Here is a 19,369-nt window from a genome sequence, read left to right as displayed (position 1 = left end):
GGTTTTAGACCCTCAGCTCTAGGTAGGCACCTACAAGAAGGTACATCCCCTGGAATGGGGATACTCTGAGCTCAATCCCAGGATGATTAAAAGTGGTTCCAAGCTAGGAGATGGTATCTATGGGACATGGGACCTGGACAGGACCCAAAGTATAATAGAGCAGCAGCAACAGTTGTTCTAAAGAGGCCAGCCTTGGACCCAGTGGGGACCCTCCAGAGATCAACAAAAGAGAATAGGCAGAAAGAGAGGGGACCTTAGAAACCAAAGTTGGGGTGCATAAAAGTTCTGGGGGCTGTGTAGGGGGAGGGTGGGTGTCTGACCTAAGAAGTAGACTCGCTCAAGAGCAGAAAATAGGAGAAGCAGCCAAGGTTTGAGGACAGTATCTGATGCTGCACAGGTGAGGTTTAGAGCCCCCTGAAGCAGAATCAGTAGCCTCAGATTCTGTCCCGAGAGGAACGAGGTAGGACCAAAGCACAGTCCAGGATTTAAGATTAAAAAAAGGAGAATAAAGAAGGTCTGTGACCAAGAAGAGTGGTCCGAACTCCATCCTATGGGGAGGGAAAGGGAGGGCCCAGCCTTCCCCCAAGCGCCCACTCCGGCGTGTGAGAGACGGTGTCGGGAAGGGGGCGGGGTTCTGGGACCAATGCAGGAGCTGAAGAGGGGCTCAAGACCGAGCCTGAACTCCAGACCCCAAGAGGACGTGCCGTGTCTTGGGGGTGGTCTCAGGGCCCTGACTCCTCCACCTGGACGGTGGCAGGACACTATCCAGGACTCGGGGGACCCTTCCGAGCAGGAGACTCGCAAACCCCAGCCTGGCCTGTTGGGCGGGGACGAGACCCAGATAGCAGTCCTGGGAGCCCTGTGGGCGGGGAGGCGCAGACACTCCCCCCAACACACCAGCCAAAAAGCAAGGACCCCGGCTCGGAACCAAGAGGGCAACGAGTAGCTCAACACGTCCCGCATCCCGGCGGGACGGTGCCTCAACCGGGAGGCGCGGCCCTGGCCTGGCGCTCAGGGACCGGGACCCTAAGGGCTCGGGCTGGGTGGGGGGACCCTGCCTGAAGCCGGGGGAGCGACCCCCGGCGCGAAGACCTGGGTGAGGCAGGAGGGCCCCGCCCCCGGCCTCCCCGCCCCCCGCCCTCACCCTGAGACCGGGGGTCGGGGTCTGGGGGCCGGGACGGCGAGCCGCGGGCCGGCCGCGCTGTGGGGCCCCGGACAGAAGGCGCAGACCTCGACCTGCGGCCCGGCCCCCGCCCTCTCGCCCACTTGCCCCGGCCGGCGCCGCCACCGCTCACTCACTTTGGCCTCCACCAGCTCCGCCGCCATCTTGGTCACCAGCGTCCCCCGCGCCGGGAGCCCCCAGCCGTCGCGTCACGTGACCGCTCACCACTCGCGGGCGGGGCCGCCGCCCGGGCCAATTAGCACCCGCGCGCGCTCCTCCCGCCGCCGGTGCGCGCTGCTGCCTCCTGCGCAGGCGCGCGCGGCCACCGCCCGGGCCTCCGGCCAATCAGGTCCGTCCTACACCAGCGCCCCCCCCCCCGCTCGCGGCGACCACGCCTACCCCGGCGGCGCCTGACTCCTTAAAGTGGTACTAGCCCTGCGCAGGTGGGGACGGGTGCTCGGTTTCCTCTAGGGAGGGAAGGCGAGAGGGGGCGGTGGCAGCGACAACAATGCAGCTAGGTGCCGTGGCTTCCTGCGCGCGGCGGCCGCCAGGTGCGTCTCCAGACTCCCGGCGGCGTCGGGCAGGGGATGGTTGCTCCGCCGCAACGGCCGCCAGTGCGTACAGTGAGGCGCCTTGCAGCGCAGCGCGGTGCAGGCTCCACGGGCCCAGACACCCCGCGCGCTGCACATCCGGGTCCTGGTGTGCAGATGGGGCGTGGGCTCGGCAACCAGCTGGCTGGGGGCGCCCGGCGGAGAAAAGCGGGACCCCTGCTCCCAAATTCCTTGGAGATCGTACAGCCCTCACCTCTTTGCAGGCGCCCCCCCCATCCTGCCTCCCCACCCATGGGAAACCTTGGATCTGCACCAGTTGGGACCTCTTCTCCAAAGCGCTCCTTGGCTTTGGAGCTAAGTGGCTTCGTGCCCGTAGAAGTGGATTTCAAACTTCAATAATCAAGTATTTTAGTGCAATTTATTTTTTATTTTTATTTTTGTAGAGACGAGGATCTCATTATGTTATCCAGGGTGGTCTCGAATGTCTGGGCTTAAATGATCCTTCTGTCTGGGCCTCCCACAGTGCTGGGATTACAGGCGCGAGTCACCACACCTGGCTAGTCCAACACTTTAAACATAAAAAAATCAGTGCAAAAGAGTCCATGATGGATGAAATACCAAATTGTTATTTATTTATTTATTTTCGAGACGGAGTTTTACTCTTGTTGCCCAGGCTGGAGTGCAATGGCGCGATCTCAGCTCACTGCAACCTCCATCTCCCGGGTTCAAGGGATTCTCCTGCCTCAGCCTCCCAAGTAGGTGGGATTACAGGCGACTGCCACCACGCCCAGCTAATTTTTTTTTTGGCCAGGCTTTTCTGCAACCCCTGACCTCAAGTGATCTGCCCGCTTCAACCTCCCAAAGTACTAGGATTACAGGCATGAGCCATCATGCCCAGCCTTTTTTTTTTTTTTTTTTGAGAGCCTTGCTGTGTTGCCCAGGCTGGAGTGCAATGGAGCGATCTCCACTCACTGCAACCTCTGCCTCCTGGGTTCAAGCGATTCCCCTGCCTCAGCCTCCCGAGTAGCTGGGATTACAGGTATGCACCACCATACCCAGCTAATTTTTTTTTTTTTAGACGGAGTCTTGCTTTGTCACCAGGCTGGAGTGCAGTGGCGCCAGGCTGGAGTGCAGTGGCGCAATTTCGGCTCAGTGCATCCTCTGCCTCCCGGGTTCAAGTGATTCTCCTGCCTCAGCCTCCCGAGTAGCTGGGACTACAGGTGGGCACCACCACGCTCAGCTGATTTTTGTATTTTTAGTAGAGATGGAGTTTCACTGTGTTGGTCAGGTTGGTCTATGAACTCCTGACCTCAGGTGATCCACCGGCCTCGGCCTCGCAAAGTGCTGGGATCATGGGTGTTAGCCACCGCACCCGGCCTGAAATACCAAAATTTTAAGTAAAGAGCCAGACGTAGGAGTGTGCGCCTGTGGTCCCAGCTACTTAGGAGGCTGAGGCAGGAGGATCGCTTGAGCCCAGGAGTTGGAGGCTGCAGTGAGCTTTGATCATGCCACTACACTCCAGCCTGGGCGACAAAATTATAGGAGGCGGTTGTTTTAGACTAAACTCTTGTGCTAGGCACCAAGACACAGGAATAAACAAAATGCAGCTAGTCACACTCAGATTCTAAGTCACAATGACGAAGCTAAGTTGTTATCTGACCTTTGGGAAAACCAGGAGGGAGCCCTATCAGCCCATTTTCTCTTTTATTTTATTTTCTCTCTTTCTTTCTCTCTCTCTCTCTCTCTCTCTCTCCCTTTCTTTCCAGGAGGAGTCTCACATTTGTCGCCTAGGCTGGAATGCAATGGCGCAATCTCGGCTCACTGCAACCTCTGCCTTCCAGGTTCAAGCGATTCTCCTGCCTCAGCCTCCTGAGTAGCTGGAATTACAGGTGCCCGCCACCACACCCGGCTAATTTTTTTGTATTTTTAGTAGAGACGGGGTTTCGCCATGTTGGCCAGACTAGTCGAGAACTACTGACCTTAGATGATCCGGCCAACCAATTTTCCAAACAGGCCAGTTTCAGCCTTCAGTGGCCAATGTCCTAAAATTCCCTCTGCTTAATTTCTTTAATCCTTACACAAAAAAACTAGCCTGGCCGGGTGTGGTGGCTCACGCCTGTAATCCCAGCACTTTGGGAGGCCAGGGCGGGTGGATCACGAGGTCAGGAGATCGAGACCACCCTGGCTAACACGGTGAAACCCCGTCTCTACTAAAAATACAAAAAATTAGCCGGGCTTGGTGGCGGGCGCCTCTAGTCCCAGCTACTTGGGAGGCTGAGGCAGGAGAATGGCATGAACACGGAAGTCGGAGCTTGCAGTGAGCCGAGATCGCGCCACTGCACTCCAGCCTAGGCGACAGAGGGAGACTCCGTCTCAAAAAAAAAAAAAAAAAAAAAAACTAGCCTGAAACAACCTGATGGTAACACTAATGAGTTAACACATTCTTTGCTGTTGGGTTTTTGTTGTTGTTGTTGCTGTTGGTTTTGAGATAGGTTTCTGTCTCCCAGGTTGTTGTGCAGTGGCTCAGTCATGGCTCACTACAGCCTCAACCGCCCGGGCTCAGGTGATCTTCCCACCTCAGCCTCCTGAGTAGCTGGGACTACAGGTGCACACCACCACGCCTGGCTAATTCTTGTATTTTTTGTCGAGATGGGGTTTTGCCAAGTTGCCCAGGCTGCTCTCAAACTTCCGAGTTCGGGGATCCTCCCAAAGTGCTGGGATTACAGACATGAGCCACCCCGCCCAGCCTGTTCTTTGATTTTGCTCTCTACAACCCCTCTCTTCCTGTAGAGCCAACCTCCTCTGCCCAACTGATTGGAACAGTTATCCTATTTTATGGAATGAAGTGTAGCAAATTGCAATGAAGCCGGTTAAGGTCCTTAGATTTGTTGAAATGTTGTCCATTGACAGCAAAACCCCAGCTCTGCCATTGCACGTATGAGTCTTACCTTCATTCCGGCCCTGCTGATTCTGCGGGGGATTGGGTTTTTTTGTTTTTGTTTTGTTTTGTTTTGTTTTAGACAGGGTCTTGCTCTGTCACCCAGGCTGGAGTGTGGTGGTGCCAATCTCGACTCACCGCAACCTCGGCCTCTCAGGTTCAACTGATTCTTGTGCTTCAGCCTCCCGAATAGCTGGGATTACAGGTGTGTGCCACCATACCTGGCTCATTTTTGTAATTTTATTTAATTTATTAATTTTCTTGAGACAGGGTCTCTCTCTGTCACTCAGGCTGGAGTGCAGTGGTGGGATCTTGGCTCACTTCAACCTCCACCTATCAGGATCAAGTGATTCTCCTGCCTCAGCCTCCCGGGCAGTGGGGACTACAGGTGCACATCATCACACCGGCTAATTTTTGGTATTTTTAGTAGAGACGAGGTTTGACCGTGTTGGCCAGGCTGGTCTCGAACTCCTGACCTTAAGGGATCTGCCAGCCTCAGCCTCCCAAAGTGCTGGGATTACAGGTGTGAGCCACCACACCTGGCCAGGTTTTGTTTTTAAGTATAATTTGTATTTGTTTTGGTGAAGATTCAGATTCACAAGAAGTTGCAAAAATAGTACAGAGAGATTTGTGCACCTTTCTCCCAGCTTTCCCCAGTGATAGTATTTTTATAACTGGCTGGGCTCCATGGCTCACACCTGTAATCCCTGCACTTTGGGAGGCCAAGGCGGGCGGGTCAACTGAGGTCAGGAGTTTGAGACCAGCCTGGCCAACATGGTGAAACTCCTGTCTCTACTAAAAATACAAAAATTAGCTGGGCATGGTGGCGGGAGCCTGTAAGCTCAGCTACTCAGGAGGCTGAGGCAGGAGAATCGCTTGACCCCAGGAGACAGAGGTTGCAATGAGCCGAGATTGTGCCATCACACTCCAGCCCAGACAACAAGAGCAACGCTCCATGTAAAACAAACAAACAAACAAAAAGCTTGAACCCAGGAGGCGGAGGTTGCAGTTAACTGAGATTGCGCCATTGCACTCCAGCCTGGGTGACAGAGCGAGACTCCATCTCAAAAAAAAAAAAAAAAAAAAGATTCAAAAAAAGTTTTACATAGCCATGTTATGTTGTCAAAACCTGGGCGTTGATGTTAGTATAATGGAATCAACTCGAGTGCAGACATTATTTCGATTGCACCCGTTTTTACATGTACCTTCCTCTGTGTGTGTTTGGTTCTATTATTTATTATTATTATTTTTTGAGACAGAGTCTCTATTGCCGAGTTTGGAGTGCAGTGGCGCGATCTCAGCTCACTACAACCTCCGCTTCCCAGGTTCAAGCAATTCTCGTGCCTCAGCCTCCTGAGTAGCTGCGATTACAGGCGGGCGCCACCACACTCAGCTAATTTTGGTATTTTTAGTAGAGACGGGGTGTCGCCATGTTGCCCAGGCTGGTCTTGAACTCCTGACCTTAAATGATCCACCTGCCTCAATCTCCCAAAAGTGCTGAGATTACAGGCATGAGACAGCGTGCTTGGCAGTTGAGAGAAATTTTGTCTCACTTGTAGATTCCTGCAACCCTTGTGGTTTGAAGGTTCTGTGTAATCATGGTACTGTGTCTGTGTTTTAAAATATGTTTTGGGCTGGGTGCCTGCTTCAAGCCTATAATCCCAGCCCTTTAGGAGGCTGAGGCAGGAGGATTGCTTAAGCCCAAGAGTTTGAGACCAGCCAGGGCAAAATAACACGAGATCCCCATCTCTACAAAAAAATTATTATTATTTTTTTGAGATGGAGTCTGGCTCTGTCACCCAGGCTGCAGTGCAATGGCGTGATCTCGGCTCACTGCAACCTCCGTCTCCTTGGTTCCAGCAATTCTTCTGCCTCAGCCTCCCAACTAACTGAGACTACAGCCGCGTGCTACCACACCCGGCTAATTTTTGTATTTTTAGCAGAAACGGGGTTTCACCATGTTGGCCAGGCTGGTCTCCAACTCTGGACCTCAGGTGATCTGCCTTCCTCGGCCTCCCAAAGTGCTGGGATTACAGGTGTGAGCCACTGCGCCCAGCTCCCCCCCCATTTTTTTTTTTTTTTGAGAGAGTCTTGCCCTGTTGCCCAGGCTGGGTGGCACGATCTCGGCTCACTGCAAGCTCCACTTCCAGGGTTCACGCCATTCTCCTGCCTCAGCCACCTGAGTAGCTGGGACTACAGGCACCTGCCAGCACGCCTGGCTAATTTTTTATATTTTTAGTAGAGAAGGGGTTTCACTGTGTTAGCCAGGATGGTCTTGATCTCCTGACCTCGTGATCCGCCCGCCTCGGCCTCCCAAAGTGCTGGGATTACAGGCGTGAGCCACCGCGCCTGACCCCAAATTTTTTCTTAAATTAGCTGGCCATGGAGGCACATACCTTTAGTGCCACCTACTCCAGAGACTGAGGCAGGAGGATCACTGGAGCCCAGGACTTTGAGGCTGCAGTGAGCTATGATAGCACCACTGTACTCTGGCCTGAGTGATAGCTAGACCCTGTCTCTAAAATAATTATAATAAATCAATGAAGAGTCCTTATCAGTTACAAATAACTGCCAAGCATATTTACAGAAGAAATGGTATAGGATTTGCATTGAAATAACAGGAAGAGGCTGGCCACTGTGGCTCACGCCTGTAATCCCAGCACTTTGGGAGCCCGAGACGGGCGAATCACCTGAAGTCAGGAGTTTGAGACCAGCCTGACCAACGTGGAGAAACCCTGTCTCTACTAAAAATACAAAATTAGCTGGGCGTAGTGGCACATGCCTGTAATCCCAGCTACTCGGGAGGCAGAGGCAGGAGAATCGCTTGAACCCGGGAGGCAGAGGTTGTGGTGAGCCGAGATTGCACTCTAGCCTGGGCAACAAGAGCGAAACTCTGTCTCAAAAAAAAAAAAAGAAAAGAAATAATGGGGAGAGTATTGAGGGAGAAAAATAAAACAAAATGGAATATATGTGTTGCCAATTGTTGAACCTGAAGGGTGGATCAGGAGGGACTCAGGATGCTCTCTACCTAAAATTGCTGAGCCGTGGCCTGGTGCAGTGGCTCATACCTGTAATCCCAGCACTTTGGGAGGCTGAGGCAGGCGGATTGCTAGAGGCCAGGAGTTTGAGACCAGCCTGGCCAACATGGTGAAACCCCGTCTCTACTAAAAATACAAAAATTAGCTGGGTGTGATGGTGGGCACCTGTAATCCCAGCTACTCAGGAGGCTGAGGCGGGAGAATTGCTTGAACCCTGAAGGCAGAGGTTATAGTGAGCTGAGATCGCACCACTGCACTCCAGCCTGGGCAACAGAGCAAGACTCCATCTCAACAACAACAAAAAAATTGCTGAGCCCTGTCCTAGAAACTGTCAGAATAAGGTGTTTCCATGTTAGCTGCGTCTGTATCAGCCCCCATTCTGTGATGATGAAAGCCAGTATCAGATGGGAACACCTGCCCAGGCATTGGCTAAGCCACTATCTTTTTTTTTTTTTTTTTTTTTTTTTTTTGGATTCAGAGTCTCACTCCGTCACCCAGGCTGGGTGCAATCTTGGCTGACTGCAACCTCCGCCTCCTGGGTTCAAGCTGTTCTCCTGCCTCAGCCTCCTGAGTAGCTGGGATTAGAGGTTCGTGCCAACACACCCAGCTAATTTTTGTATTTCTAATAGAGACGGGGTTTTGCCATGTTGGCCAGGCTGGTCTCGAACTCTTGACCTCAAGTGATCTACCTGCCTTGGCCTCCCAAAATGTTGAGATTATAGGCATGAGCCACCACATCTGGCCTTTTTTTGTTTTGTTTTGTTTTTTTGTTTGTTTGTTTGTAGATTTGGGAGGGGGAGTTTTACTCTGCTGCCTAGGCTGGTCTCAAACTCCTGGCCTCAAACCATCTTCCTACATTGACCTCCCAAACTGCTGAGATTACGGGCTTGAGCTGCCATGCCCAGCCTAAACCACTGTCTTAATCTGCATCCAGCTGTCTCCAAAGGCTAAAACACCTCCCCTTCTTACATCAGATATACAAGTAATGACCAGGCACAGTAGCTTAACGCTCATAATCTCAGCACTTTGGGAGGCCAAGGCAGGAGGATTGCTTGAGCCCAGGAGGTCGAGGCTGCAGTGAGTTGTGATAGTGGCACTGCACTCCAGCCAGGGCAACAGAGCAAGACCTTGTCTCAAAAATAAAAAATTAAAAAGACATGCAAACAATAATCTTTCTGTATTATCAAGCACCTACTGTATACAAGGCACTGTTTTGGTTCAGGGATCTGCAAACGTTTTCTGTAGAGATCCAGGAAATAACTATTTTCTGCTTTTGGACCACATATAATGTCTAGAGCAATTACTCAACTCTGCCATCTAAGGGCAAAAGAAACCGTAGACTATAAATAAACAAATCAGCATGGCTGGCCGGGAGCGGTGGCTCACGCCTGTAATCCCAGCACTTTGAGAGGCCGAGGCAGGCGGACCATGAGGTCAGGAGTTTGAGACCAGCCTGGCCAATATGGTGAAACCCCATCTCTACTAAAAATACGAAAATTAGCAGGGCGTGGTGGTGCACACCTATAGTCCCAGCTACTTGGGAGGCTGAGGCAGGAGAATCGCCTGAACCGGGAGGCGGAGGTTGTGGTGAGCCGAGATCACACCACTGCACTCCAGCCTGGCCGACAGAACGAGGCTCCGTCTCAAAAAAGAAAAGAAAAGAAAAAAGAAAAACAAATGAGCATGGCTGTGTGCTAGTAAAACTTTATTTTATTTTATTTATTTATTTATGACAAAGTCTTGCTCTGTTGCCCAAGCTGGAGTGCAGGGGCCTGATCTCGGTGCACTGCAACCTCCGCCTCCCAGGTAAAAAAGATTTTCCTGCCTCAGCCTCCTGAGTAGCTGAGTCTACAGGCGCACGCCACCAGGCCCAGCTAATTTTTGTATTTTTAGCAGAGACGGGGTTTCACCATGTTGGCCAGGCTGGTCTTTTTTTTTTTTTTTTTTTAGTATTCATTGATCATTCTTGGGTGTTTCTCGGAGAGGGGGATTTGGCAGGGTCATAGGACACTAGTGGAGGGAAGGTCAGCAGATAAACATGTGAACAAGGGTCTCTGGTTTTCCTAGGCAGCGGACCCTGCGGCCTTCCGCAGTGTTTATGTCCCTGGGTACTTGAGATTAGGGAGTGGTGATGACTCTTAACGAGCATGCTGCCTTCTAGCATCTGTTTAACAAAGCACATCTTGCACCGCCCTTAATCCATTTAACCCTGAGTGGACACAGCACATGTTTCAGCACGGGGTTGGGGGTAAGGTTATAGATTAACAGCATCCCAAGGCAGAAGAATTTTTCTCAGTACAGAACAAAATGGAGTCTCCTATGTCCACTTCTTTCCACACAGACAGCGTAACAATCTGACCTCTCTTTCTTTTCCCCACATTTCCCCCTTTTTCTATTCGACAAAACCGCCATCGTCATCATGGTCTGCTCTCAATGAGCTGCTGGGTACACCTCCCAGACGGGGTGGCGGCCGGGCAGAGGGGCTCCTCACTTCCCAGACGGGGCGGCCGGGCAGAGACGCCCCCCACCTCTCGGACGGGGCGGCTGGCCGGGCGGGGGCTGCCCCCCACCTCCCTTCCGGACGGGGCAGCTGGCCGGGCGGGGGCTGCCCCCGGCCAGGCTGGTCTTGAACTCCTGACCTCGAGTGATCTGCCCTCCTGGACCTCCCAAAATGCTGGGATTACGGGTGTGAACCACTGAGCCAGGCCTGTATGCTAGTAGAACTTCATAAACACAGAAATTTCAATCTTACGTATTTTCACATGTCATGTTATTATTATGCTTTTGTTTGAACATTTAAAAGAGAAAGAAGGCCGGGTGCTGTGGGTCGGGTGTGTAATCCCAGAACTTTTGGAGATCCAGGCAGGAGGACTGCTTGAACACAGGATTTCTACACCAGACTGAGCAACATAATGAGATCCTCTCTCTGCAAAAAATAAAAAATTAAGTAGGCATGGTGGTGCACGCCTACAGTCTTACCTACTCAGGTGGATGGCTTGAGCCCAGGAGTTCCAGGCAGCAGTGAACCGTGATTGTGTCACTGCACTCCAGCCTGGGTGACAGAGAGAGACTCTGTCTCAAAAGTAATAATAATAATAATAATAATAATAATACGCTGGGCGCAGTGGCTCATGCCTGTAATCCCAGCACTTTGGGAGGCCGAGGCGGGCAGATCACGAGATCAGGAGATCGAGACCATCCTGGCTAACACGGTGAAACCCCGTCTCTACTAAAAATACAAAAAATTAGCCGGGCATGGTGGCGGGCGCCTGTAGTCCCAGCTACTCGGGAGGCTGAGGCAGGAAAACGGCGTGAACCCGGGAGGCGGAGCTTGCAGTGAGCCGAGATTGTGCCACTGAACTCCAGCCTGGTTACAGAGCGAGACTCAAAAAAAAAAAAAAAAAAAGATTAGGGCTGAGGGCTGTAGCTTGCTAGTCTTTGTTAGAGATGCTCAGACACAGTGGTGACCACAACAGGCAAAATTCCCTGTCCTCGTGGAACTGGCATTCCAGGAGGGAGATCAACAACAAACAAAATCAAAAGCTAATTAAAGGTCCCGGCGTGGTGGGTCACGCCTGTAATCCCAGCACTTTGGGAGGCTGACATGGGCGGATCACCTGAGGCCCAGAGTTCGAGACCAGCCTGGCCAAGATGGTGAAAACCCATCTCTACCAAAAATAAAAATTTAGCTGGGCGTGGTGGCACACGCCTGTAGTCCCAGCTACTTGGGAGGCTGAGGCAGGAGAGTCACTTGAACCCGGAAGGTGGAGCTTGCAGTGAGCCGAGATGGCACCACTGTACTCCAGCCTGGGCAACAGAGGGAGACTCCATCTCAAAAAAAAAAAAAAAGGCTAAATACAGAACATGTTCAGACACTGATGGGAGGTAGACAGACAAGAAAGAGGAGAGGGAGGCTATGGAAAATCCCCACACGACCAATTTAAAGCTTTACAGCCTGTTTTAGGACAGAATTCATCAGTTCTAAATCAGATCCTTTGCAATTCTGACAAAATTCACAAACCACCTCCACTGTTATGTAAGATACATAGAGATAGATGGAGAGAGGTAGATATAGATACAGATAGTTACTCCCGTTTTGCACTTAAGTAAATGGAGTTGTTTCCTGGGCAAAAATACCTATGAGCTGGGCGCGGTAGCTCAAGCTTGTAATCCCAGCACTTTAGGAGGCCGAGGCGGGTGGATCATGAGGTCAGGAGTTTGAGACCAGCCTGGCCAACATGGTGAAACCCTGTCTCTACTAGAAATACAAAAAAAATTACTGGGGCGTGGTGGCACGCACCTGTAATCCCAGCTACTCAGGATGCTGAGGCAGGAGAATCTCTTGAACCTGGGAGACAGAGGTTGCAGTGAGCCGAGATGAGGACACTGCACTCCAGCCTCGGTGACAGAAGGAGACTCCATCTTTACCAAAAAAAAAAAGTATCAAATTGTGAATTTGGTGTTAGCTGAATATTAAAAGCATCTTAAATTTAAATAAAGTTGTGTGCACGTTTGTATATATGTATTTCAAAACATAGCAATGTATTATCACAATTGATTGCATTTTCTGGCTCTAAAACAGATTGTAGGCCAGGCACAGTGGCTCACTCCTGTAATCCCAGCATTTTGGGAGGCCGAGGCAGGAGGATCACCTGAGGTCAGAAGTTTGAGACCAGCCCACGCAACATGGTGAAACCCCTGTCTCCACTAAAAATACAAAAATTAGCCGGGCATAGTGGCACACACCTGTAATTCCAGCTACTCAGGAGGCTGAGACAGGAGAATCGCTTTAACCCGAGAGGCAGAGGTTGCAGTGAGCTGAGATCATGCTGCTGCACTCCAGCCTGGGCAACACGCGAGACTCCATCTCAAAAAAATAAAATAAATAAGTAAATAAATAAATAAAACAGATTGTATAAACAAATATAATCTAATTGGGGGACAGGTTGGGCGCCGGGGCTTAGGCCTAGAATCCCAGCACTTTGGGAGGCTGAGGCAGGAGGATTGCTTGAGCTCAGGAGTTCAAGACCAGCCTGGGCAACATAGACCCCATCTCTTCAACAATCTTAAAAATACCCAGGTATGGCCGGGCGTGGTGACTCACACCTGTAATCCCAGCACTTTGGGAGGCCGAGGCGGGCAGATCACAAGGTCAGGAGATTGAGACCATCCTGGCTAACACGGTGAAACCCTGTCTCTACTAAAAATACAGAAAAATTAGCCGGGTGTCGTGGCATGCGCCTGTAGTCCCAGATGCTGGGGAGGCTGTGGCAGGAGAATGGTGTGAACCCGGGAGGCGGAGCTTGCAGTGAGCCGAGATGGCGCCACTGCACTCCAGCCTGGGCGACAGAGCGAGACTCCATCTCAATTTAAAAAAAAACAACAAAAAACCCAGGTATGGTGGCGTGAACTTGTAGTCCCAGCTAATCGGGAGGCTGAGGTGAGAGAACTGCTTGAGCCTGGGAGGTCGAGGCTGCAGTGAGCTATGATCACACCAGTGCACTCCAGCCTGCGTAACAGTGAGATGCTGTCTAAAGATAAATAAGTAAATAATTGAATTGGGAGTTAAGGAATTTGTTCTCTCTCCCACCACCCCACCCTCAGGGCATTTTCTCAGGGACACAGAAGTCTCTTTCATAGGAATAACCACCCGCCTACTATTTTTTTTTCTTTTTGAGACTGAGTCTCACTCTATCACCCAGGCTGGAGTGCAGTGGCAATATCTTGGCTCTCTGCAACCTCCGCCTCCTAGGCTCAAGCAATCCTCCCACCTCAGCCTCCTGAGTAGCTGGTTTTATAGCCACACGCCACCATGCCCAGCTAATTTTTTTGCAGTTTTTGTAGAGATGAGGAGAATTGCTTTAACCCAGAAGGTGGAGGGTTGCAGTCAGCTGAGATTGTGCCACTGCACTCCAGCCTGGCGACAGCGAGACTCCGTCTCAAAAAAAAAAAAACAAAAAAGTCCTGGGCTCAGGTGACCCTCCTGCCTCAGCATCCCAAGTAGTTGAGACTACACGGGTGCACCATCATGCCCAGCTTATTAAAAAAGGTTTCTGGAGGGCCAGGCGCGGTGGCTCACGCCTGTAATCCCACCACTTTGGGAGGCTGAGGCGGGTGGATCACGAGGTCAAGACATCGAGACCATCCTGGCCAACATGGCGAAACCCCATCTCTACTAAAAATACAAAAAAAAATAGCTGGGCATGGTTCTGGTCACCAGTAGTCCCAGCTACTCGGGAGGCTGAGGCAAGAGAATCACTTGAACCTGGGAGGCAGAGGTTGCAGTGAGCCGAGATTGTGCCACTGCACTCCAGCCTGGCTGCAGAGTGAGACACTGTCTCAAAAAAAAAAAAAAAAGATTTTTTGGTAGATACGGGGTCTCCCTATGTTGCCAAATCTGGTCTTGAACTGCTAGCCTCGAGCAATCCTCCCCTTTTCCAAAAGGCTGGGATTACGATGTGAGCTACTGGGACCTGCCACGATGTCTTGTATAGCCTAACCTGAAACAGCACGCTCCCATTTTCTTTTTTTTTTTTTTTTTTTTTTTTTTTTTGAGACGGAGTCTCGCTCTGTCGCCCAGGCTGGAGTGCAGTGGCGGGATCTCGGCTCACTGCAAGCTCCGCCTCCCGGGTTCACGCCATTCTCCTGCCTCAGCCTCCCAAGTAGCTGGGACTACAGGCGCCTGCCACTACGCCCGGCTAATTTTTTGTATTTTTAGTAGAGACGGGGTTTCACCGTTTTAGCCGGGATGGTCTCGATCTCCTGACCTCGTGATCCGCCCGCCTCGGCCTCCCAAAGTGCTGGGATTACAGGCGTGAGCCACCGCGCCCGGCCTGCACGCTCCCATTTTCAAAACATCCTATAAAGCTCAGCCCTGTTCAATGTGAGCAGGTCATACCCGGATGTCAGGAGGGCAGATTCGTTGGGACAATCGTGCAGGCTGGGCACCACAAATTGTATCTATTTTACAGGGTGATTGTAGGGCCATAAAGCATTTAGCTCAGTGTCTGGTACACAGTAAGCCCTCAGGAATTGTGAAATATTATTATATTGCCATTAATTTAGAAAGGACAAGAGGGTCTCAAGGGCATTCTGCTGAGTGGGGGGCAAAAGCCAATCTGGGCTGGGCACTGTGGCTCACGCCTGTAATCTCAGCACTTTGGGAGGCCAAGGCGGGTGGATCACTCGAGGCTAGGAGTTCAAAACTAGCCTGGCCAACATGATGAAAGCCTGTCTCTACTAAATATACAAAAATTAGCTGGATGTGGTGGCGGGTATCTGTAATTTCAGTTACTCGGGAGGCTGAGGCAGGAGAATCACTTGAACCCGGGAGGCAGACGTTGCAGTGAGTTGAGATTGCACCACTGCACTCCAGCTGGGCGACAGAGTGAGACTCCGTCTCGAAACAATGACAACAAGAACAACAACAAAAAGGTTATTGAAATGACAGAATTATAGAGCTGGAACACAGGTCAGTTGTTTCCAGGGATCAGGGCAGGGCCATGGGGAGGGGAATAGTTGTGACAATAGGGAGGTAACAGAAGAGTGATCTTTGTGGTGATGAAATAGTTCTGTATGTTTTTGTTTTATTTATTTATACATACGTTTTGAGACAAACTTTTGCTCTGGTTGCCCAGGCTGGAGTGCAGTGGCGTGATCTCGGCTCACTGCAACTTCCGCCTCCCGGGTTCAAGCGATTCTCCTGCCTCAGCCTCCCGTGTAGCTGGGATTACGGGTGCTCACCACCACGCGTGGCCAATTTTTGTATTTTTAGTAGAGACAGGGTTTCACCATGTTGGCCAGGCTGGTCTCAAACTCCTGACCTCAGGTGATCCACCCGCCTCAGCCTCCCAAAGTGCTGGGACTACAGGCGTGAGCCACTGCGCCCAGCCTTTGTTTTTGTTTTCACAGAGTCACATTCTGTCGCCCAGGCTGGAGTGCAGTGACATGATCATAGCTCATTGCAGCCCTGACCTCCTGGGCTCAAGCCTCCCTAGGAGGTGAGACTGCAGGCATGTGCCACCACCCCCAGCTAATTTTTTTTTTTTTTTTTAGAGATAGGGTCTCAGTATGTTGCCCAGGCTGGTCTCAAACTCCTGGTTTTAAGGGATCCTCCTTCCTTGGCCTCCCAAAGTGCTGGGTTCCAGGTATGAGCCACAGTGTCCAGCTACAATAACTTGGAAATGTATACACACATTGTACTAATGTCATATTTCTTGTTCGGATGTTGTACATAAGATGTGACCACTGAGGGAAGCTTGGTGACAGGCACGTAGGACCTGTTTGTCCTATATGTGCAGCTCCCTTTGAATCTATAATTATTTCAGAATAAGAAATGTTGGCCAGGCCCAGTGGCTCACACCTGTATACCCTTACTTTGGGCAGCTAAGGCTGGAGGATTGCTTAAGTCCAGGAGTTTAAGACTAACCCGGGCAACGTAGGGAGGCCCTGTCTCTACAAAAAATAAAAAATTGGCCGGGCGCGGTGGCTCCTGCCTGTAATCCCAGCACTTTGGGAGACCAAAGTGGGTGGATCAAGAGGTCAGGAGATCGAGACCATCCTGGCTAACACGGTGAAACCCCGTCTCTACTAAAAATATAAAAAATTAGCCAGGTGTGGTGGTGGGCGCCTGTCGTCCCAGCTGCTCGGGAGGCTGAGGGAGGAGAATGGCGTGAACCCAGGAGGCGGAGCTTGCAGTGAGCTGAGATGGCGCCACTGCACTCCAGCCTGGGCGACAGAGCAAGACTCCTTCTCAAAAAAAAAAAAAAAAAAAAATTTAGGACGTGGGGGTGGGGGGCGGGGAGAGCATCAGGATGAATAGTTAAGGGATGTGGGGCTTAATACCTAGGTGATGGGTTGATCTGTGCAGCAAACAATCATGGCACACATTTACCTGTATGACAAACCTGCACATCCTGCACATGTACCCCAGATCTTAAAATAAGTTGAAAGAAGAAAAAAAGTTTAAAAATGAAAACAGGCCAGGTGCGGTGGCTTACGCCTGTAATCCCAGCACTTTGGGAGGCCGAGGCAGGCGGATCACCTGAGGTTAGGAGTTCGAGACTAGCCTGGCCAACATGATAAAACCCTGTCCTTACTAAAAATACAAAAATTAGCTGGGTGTGGTGGCAGGCGCCTGTAATCCCAGCTACTCGGGAGGCTGAGGCAGGAGAATCATTTGATTCTGGGAGACAGAGGTTGCAGTGAGCCGAGATCATGCCATTACACCCCAGCCTGGGGTACAAGAGTGAGACTTCATCTCAAAAAAAAAAAAAAAAAAAAAAGGCTGGGTATGGTGGCTGACATCTGTAATCCCAACACATTGGGAGGCCAAGGTGGGCCCATCTCCTGAAGTCAGGAGTTCGAGGCCAGCCTGGCTGACATGGCGAAACCACATCTCTACTAAAAATACAAAAATTAGCCAGGCGTGGTGGCGGCCACCTGTAATTCCAGCTACTCAACAGGCTGAGGCAGGAGAATTGCTTGAGCCTGGGAAAGGGAGGTTGCAGTGAGCTGAGATTGCGCTATCTCAATTAAAAAAAAAAAAAAAGGCCGGGCGCAGTGGCTCACGCCTGTAATCCCAGCACTTTGGGAGGCCAAGGCAGGCGAATCACAAGGTCAAGAGATTGAGACCATCCTGGCCAACATGGTGAAACCCCGTCTCTACTAAAAATACAAAAATTAGACCGGGTGCATTGGCTCACGCCTGTATTCCCAGCACTTAGGGAGGCCAAGGCGGGTGGATCACCTGAGGTCCGGAGTTTGAGACCAGCCTGATCAACATGGAAAAACCCCGTTTCTACAAAAAATACAAAATTAGCCGGGCGTGGTAATCTCAGCTACTTGGGAGGCTGAGGCAGGAGAATCGCTTGAACCCAGGAAGAAGTTGTGGTGAGCCGAGATCGCGCCATTGCACCCCAGCCTGGGCAGCAAGAGCAAAACCCCATCTCAAAAAAACCCAAAAACCCCCAAACAAACAAAAAAACAACAAACAACACAACTGTGCTTCTTCTTTGGTGCTTTGTGAAAAGGAAAACAAAAAAACTGGCTGAGTGTAATGGTTCATGCCTGTCATCCGGCACCTTGGGAAGCTGAAGTAGGAGGATCCCTTGGACCCAGGAGTTCAAGACCAGCTTGGGCAACACAGCAAGACCCTGTCTCTACAAAAAATAAAATAAAAGAAATCGATAGAGGCAGGAGGGTTCCTGGAGGTTAGGAGCTCAAAACCAGCCTCGGGGACATAGTGAGATTCTAACTCTAAAAAAATTTAAAAATTACCTGGATGTGGTGGTGCGTGCCTGCCAATATGGAGGCTGAAACAGAAGGATTGCTTGAACGCAGGAGTTCAAGACTAGAATGAGCTATGAATGCACCACTGCACCCTGCAGCTTGGGCAACACAGCAAGACTCTGTCTCAGAAAAACAAAAAAGAAAAGAAAAAAGAAACAACAAGTAAGGAAAGAAAAAAAAGAAGGAAGAAAGGAGAGAAGGAACAAAAAAAGGAAGGAAGGATGGAACGAAGGAAGAAAGGAAGAGAAGGAAGGAAGGAAGGAAGGAGGGAAGGAGGGAAGGAAGGAAGGAAAGAAAAAGGCTGGGCGTGGTGGCTCACGCTGGTAATCCCTGAACTTTGGGAGGCCGAGGCAGGTGGATCATCTGAGGTCAGGAGTTCGATACCAGCCTGGCTAAAATGATGAAACCCCGTCTCTACTAAAAATACAAAAAATTAGCTGGGCGTGGTGGTGTGCGCCTGTAATCCCAGCTACTCAGGAGGCTGAGGCAGGAGAATCGCTTGAACCCGGGAGTCGGAGGTTGCAGTGAGCCTAGATCGCGTCACTGTACTCCAGCCTGGGCAACAAGAGCAAAACTCCGTCTAAAAAAAAGAAAGAAAAGAAAAAAGAAATAAAGAAAAAGAAAAAAAGACAATTTTAAGCCGAACACATGGCCTCCCAGAAAAAAAGACTACATTTCCCACCAACCCTTGCAGCTGAGTATGGTCACGTGACACATTCTGACCAATAGCAGGAGTGGCATGTAAACTCTTTTCCTGTTTTTCTCTTTCCTTCTTCCTATTGGCTGAAACGTGAATGTGATGGTGGACACTTTGAACTATGAGGATGAAGGCAATACTTTGGAGACAGCAAGGCAAAGCGTTAAAAAGAGCTTGAGCTCTCAACACCGCTGCTGAACAGATGCACCCCATCAGCAGGGACTTTCTACCTGGGAGGGTAATTGTTTCAATTATCTTCTTTTTCTTTTTTTTTTTTTTTTGAGATGGAGTCTCGCTCTGTCGTCCAGGTTGGAGTGCAGTGGCGCGATCTAGGCGCATTGCAACCTCTGCCTCCCGGGGACAAGCGATTCTCCTACCTTAGCCTCCCGAGTAGCTGGGACTACAGGCGCGCCACCATGCCCAGCTAATTTGTGTATTTTTAGTAGAGACGGGGCTTCACCATGCTGGCCAGGCTGTTGTCTTAACTCCTGACATTGTGATCCGCCCTCCTCGGTCTCCCAAAGTGCTGAGATTACAGGCATGAGCCACTGCGCCCGGCCTTTTTTCTTTCTTTTCAGGGTGTGGAGTCTCCCACTATCACCCAGGCTGGAGTGCAGTGTCGTGATCTCTGCCCACTGGAACCTCGGCCTCCTGAGTTCAAGCAATTCTCCTGCCTCAGCCTCTTGAGTAGCT

At 50.9% G+C, this 19,369-nt stretch overlaps 1 protein-coding gene across 1 annotated transcript in view, besides 7 other annotated features; it reads right to left on the bottom strand.

The window, feature by feature from the left end:
• The window catches only part of PIAS4 (protein inhibitor of activated STAT 4), a 31,651-nt gene extending 30,300 nt beyond the window's left edge, over nucleotides 1-1,351 (bottom strand). The window contains exon 1 of the mRNA NM_015897.4: nucleotides 1,300-1,351. Coding sequence (NP_056981.2) covers nucleotides 1,300-1,326 — 27 coding nt within the window. The 5' untranslated portion in view covers nucleotides 1,327-1,351. The remainder of the gene's footprint in view (nucleotides 1-1,299) is intronic.
• Nucleotides 543-1,433: an enhancer, noted in NCBI's record as "H3K27ac hESC enhancer chr19:4007652-4008542 (GRCh37/hg19 assembly coordinates)". NCBI's record gives its function as "activates a minimal SCP1, AML or CMV promoter by ChIP-STARR-seq in primed H9 embryonic stem cells {active_cell/tissue: H9 hESC(primed)}" and the evidence as "EXISTENCE:reporter gene assay evidence [ECO:0000049][PMID:30033119]".
• Nucleotides 543-2,325: a biological region, named in NCBI's record as "H3K27ac hESC enhancers GRCh37_chr19:4006760-4007651 and GRCh37_chr19:4007652-4008542".
• Nucleotides 1,198-1,257: a silencer, noted in NCBI's record as "silent region_9867". NCBI's record gives its function as "represses an Ori minimal core promoter by ATAC-STARR-seq in GM12878 lymphoblastoid cells {active_cell/tissue: GM12878}" and the evidence as "EXISTENCE:reporter gene assay evidence [ECO:0000049][PMID:35858748]".
• Nucleotides 1,288-1,587: a silencer, noted in NCBI's record as "silent region_9866". NCBI's record gives its function as "represses an Ori minimal core promoter by ATAC-STARR-seq in GM12878 lymphoblastoid cells {active_cell/tissue: GM12878}" and the evidence as "EXISTENCE:reporter gene assay evidence [ECO:0000049][PMID:35858748]".
• Nucleotides 1,434-2,325: an enhancer, noted in NCBI's record as "H3K27ac hESC enhancer chr19:4006760-4007651 (GRCh37/hg19 assembly coordinates)". NCBI's record gives its function as "activates a minimal SCP1, AML or CMV promoter by ChIP-STARR-seq in primed H9 embryonic stem cells {active_cell/tissue: H9 hESC(primed)}" and the evidence as "EXISTENCE:reporter gene assay evidence [ECO:0000049][PMID:30033119]".
• Nucleotides 1,788-1,917: an enhancer, noted in NCBI's record as "active region_13749". NCBI's record gives its function as "activates an Ori minimal core promoter by ATAC-STARR-seq in GM12878 lymphoblastoid cells {active_cell/tissue: GM12878}" and the evidence as "EXISTENCE:reporter gene assay evidence [ECO:0000049][PMID:35858748]".
• Nucleotides 9,603-10,248: an enhancer, noted in NCBI's record as "NANOG-H3K27ac-H3K4me1 hESC enhancer chr19:3998837-3999482 (GRCh37/hg19 assembly coordinates)". NCBI's record gives its function as "activates a minimal SCP1, AML or CMV promoter by ChIP-STARR-seq in naive H9 embryonic stem cells {active_cell/tissue: H9 hESC(naive)}" and the evidence as "EXISTENCE:reporter gene assay evidence [ECO:0000049][PMID:30033119]".

Source organism: Homo sapiens, chromosome 19 (assembly GCF_000001405.40).
Source record: "Homo sapiens chromosome 19, GRCh38.p14 Primary Assembly".
NCBI classification, from domain to species: domain Eukaryota; kingdom Metazoa; phylum Chordata; class Mammalia; order Primates; family Hominidae; genus Homo; species Homo sapiens.
This window is presented reverse-complemented; position numbering and strand designations above follow the sequence as displayed.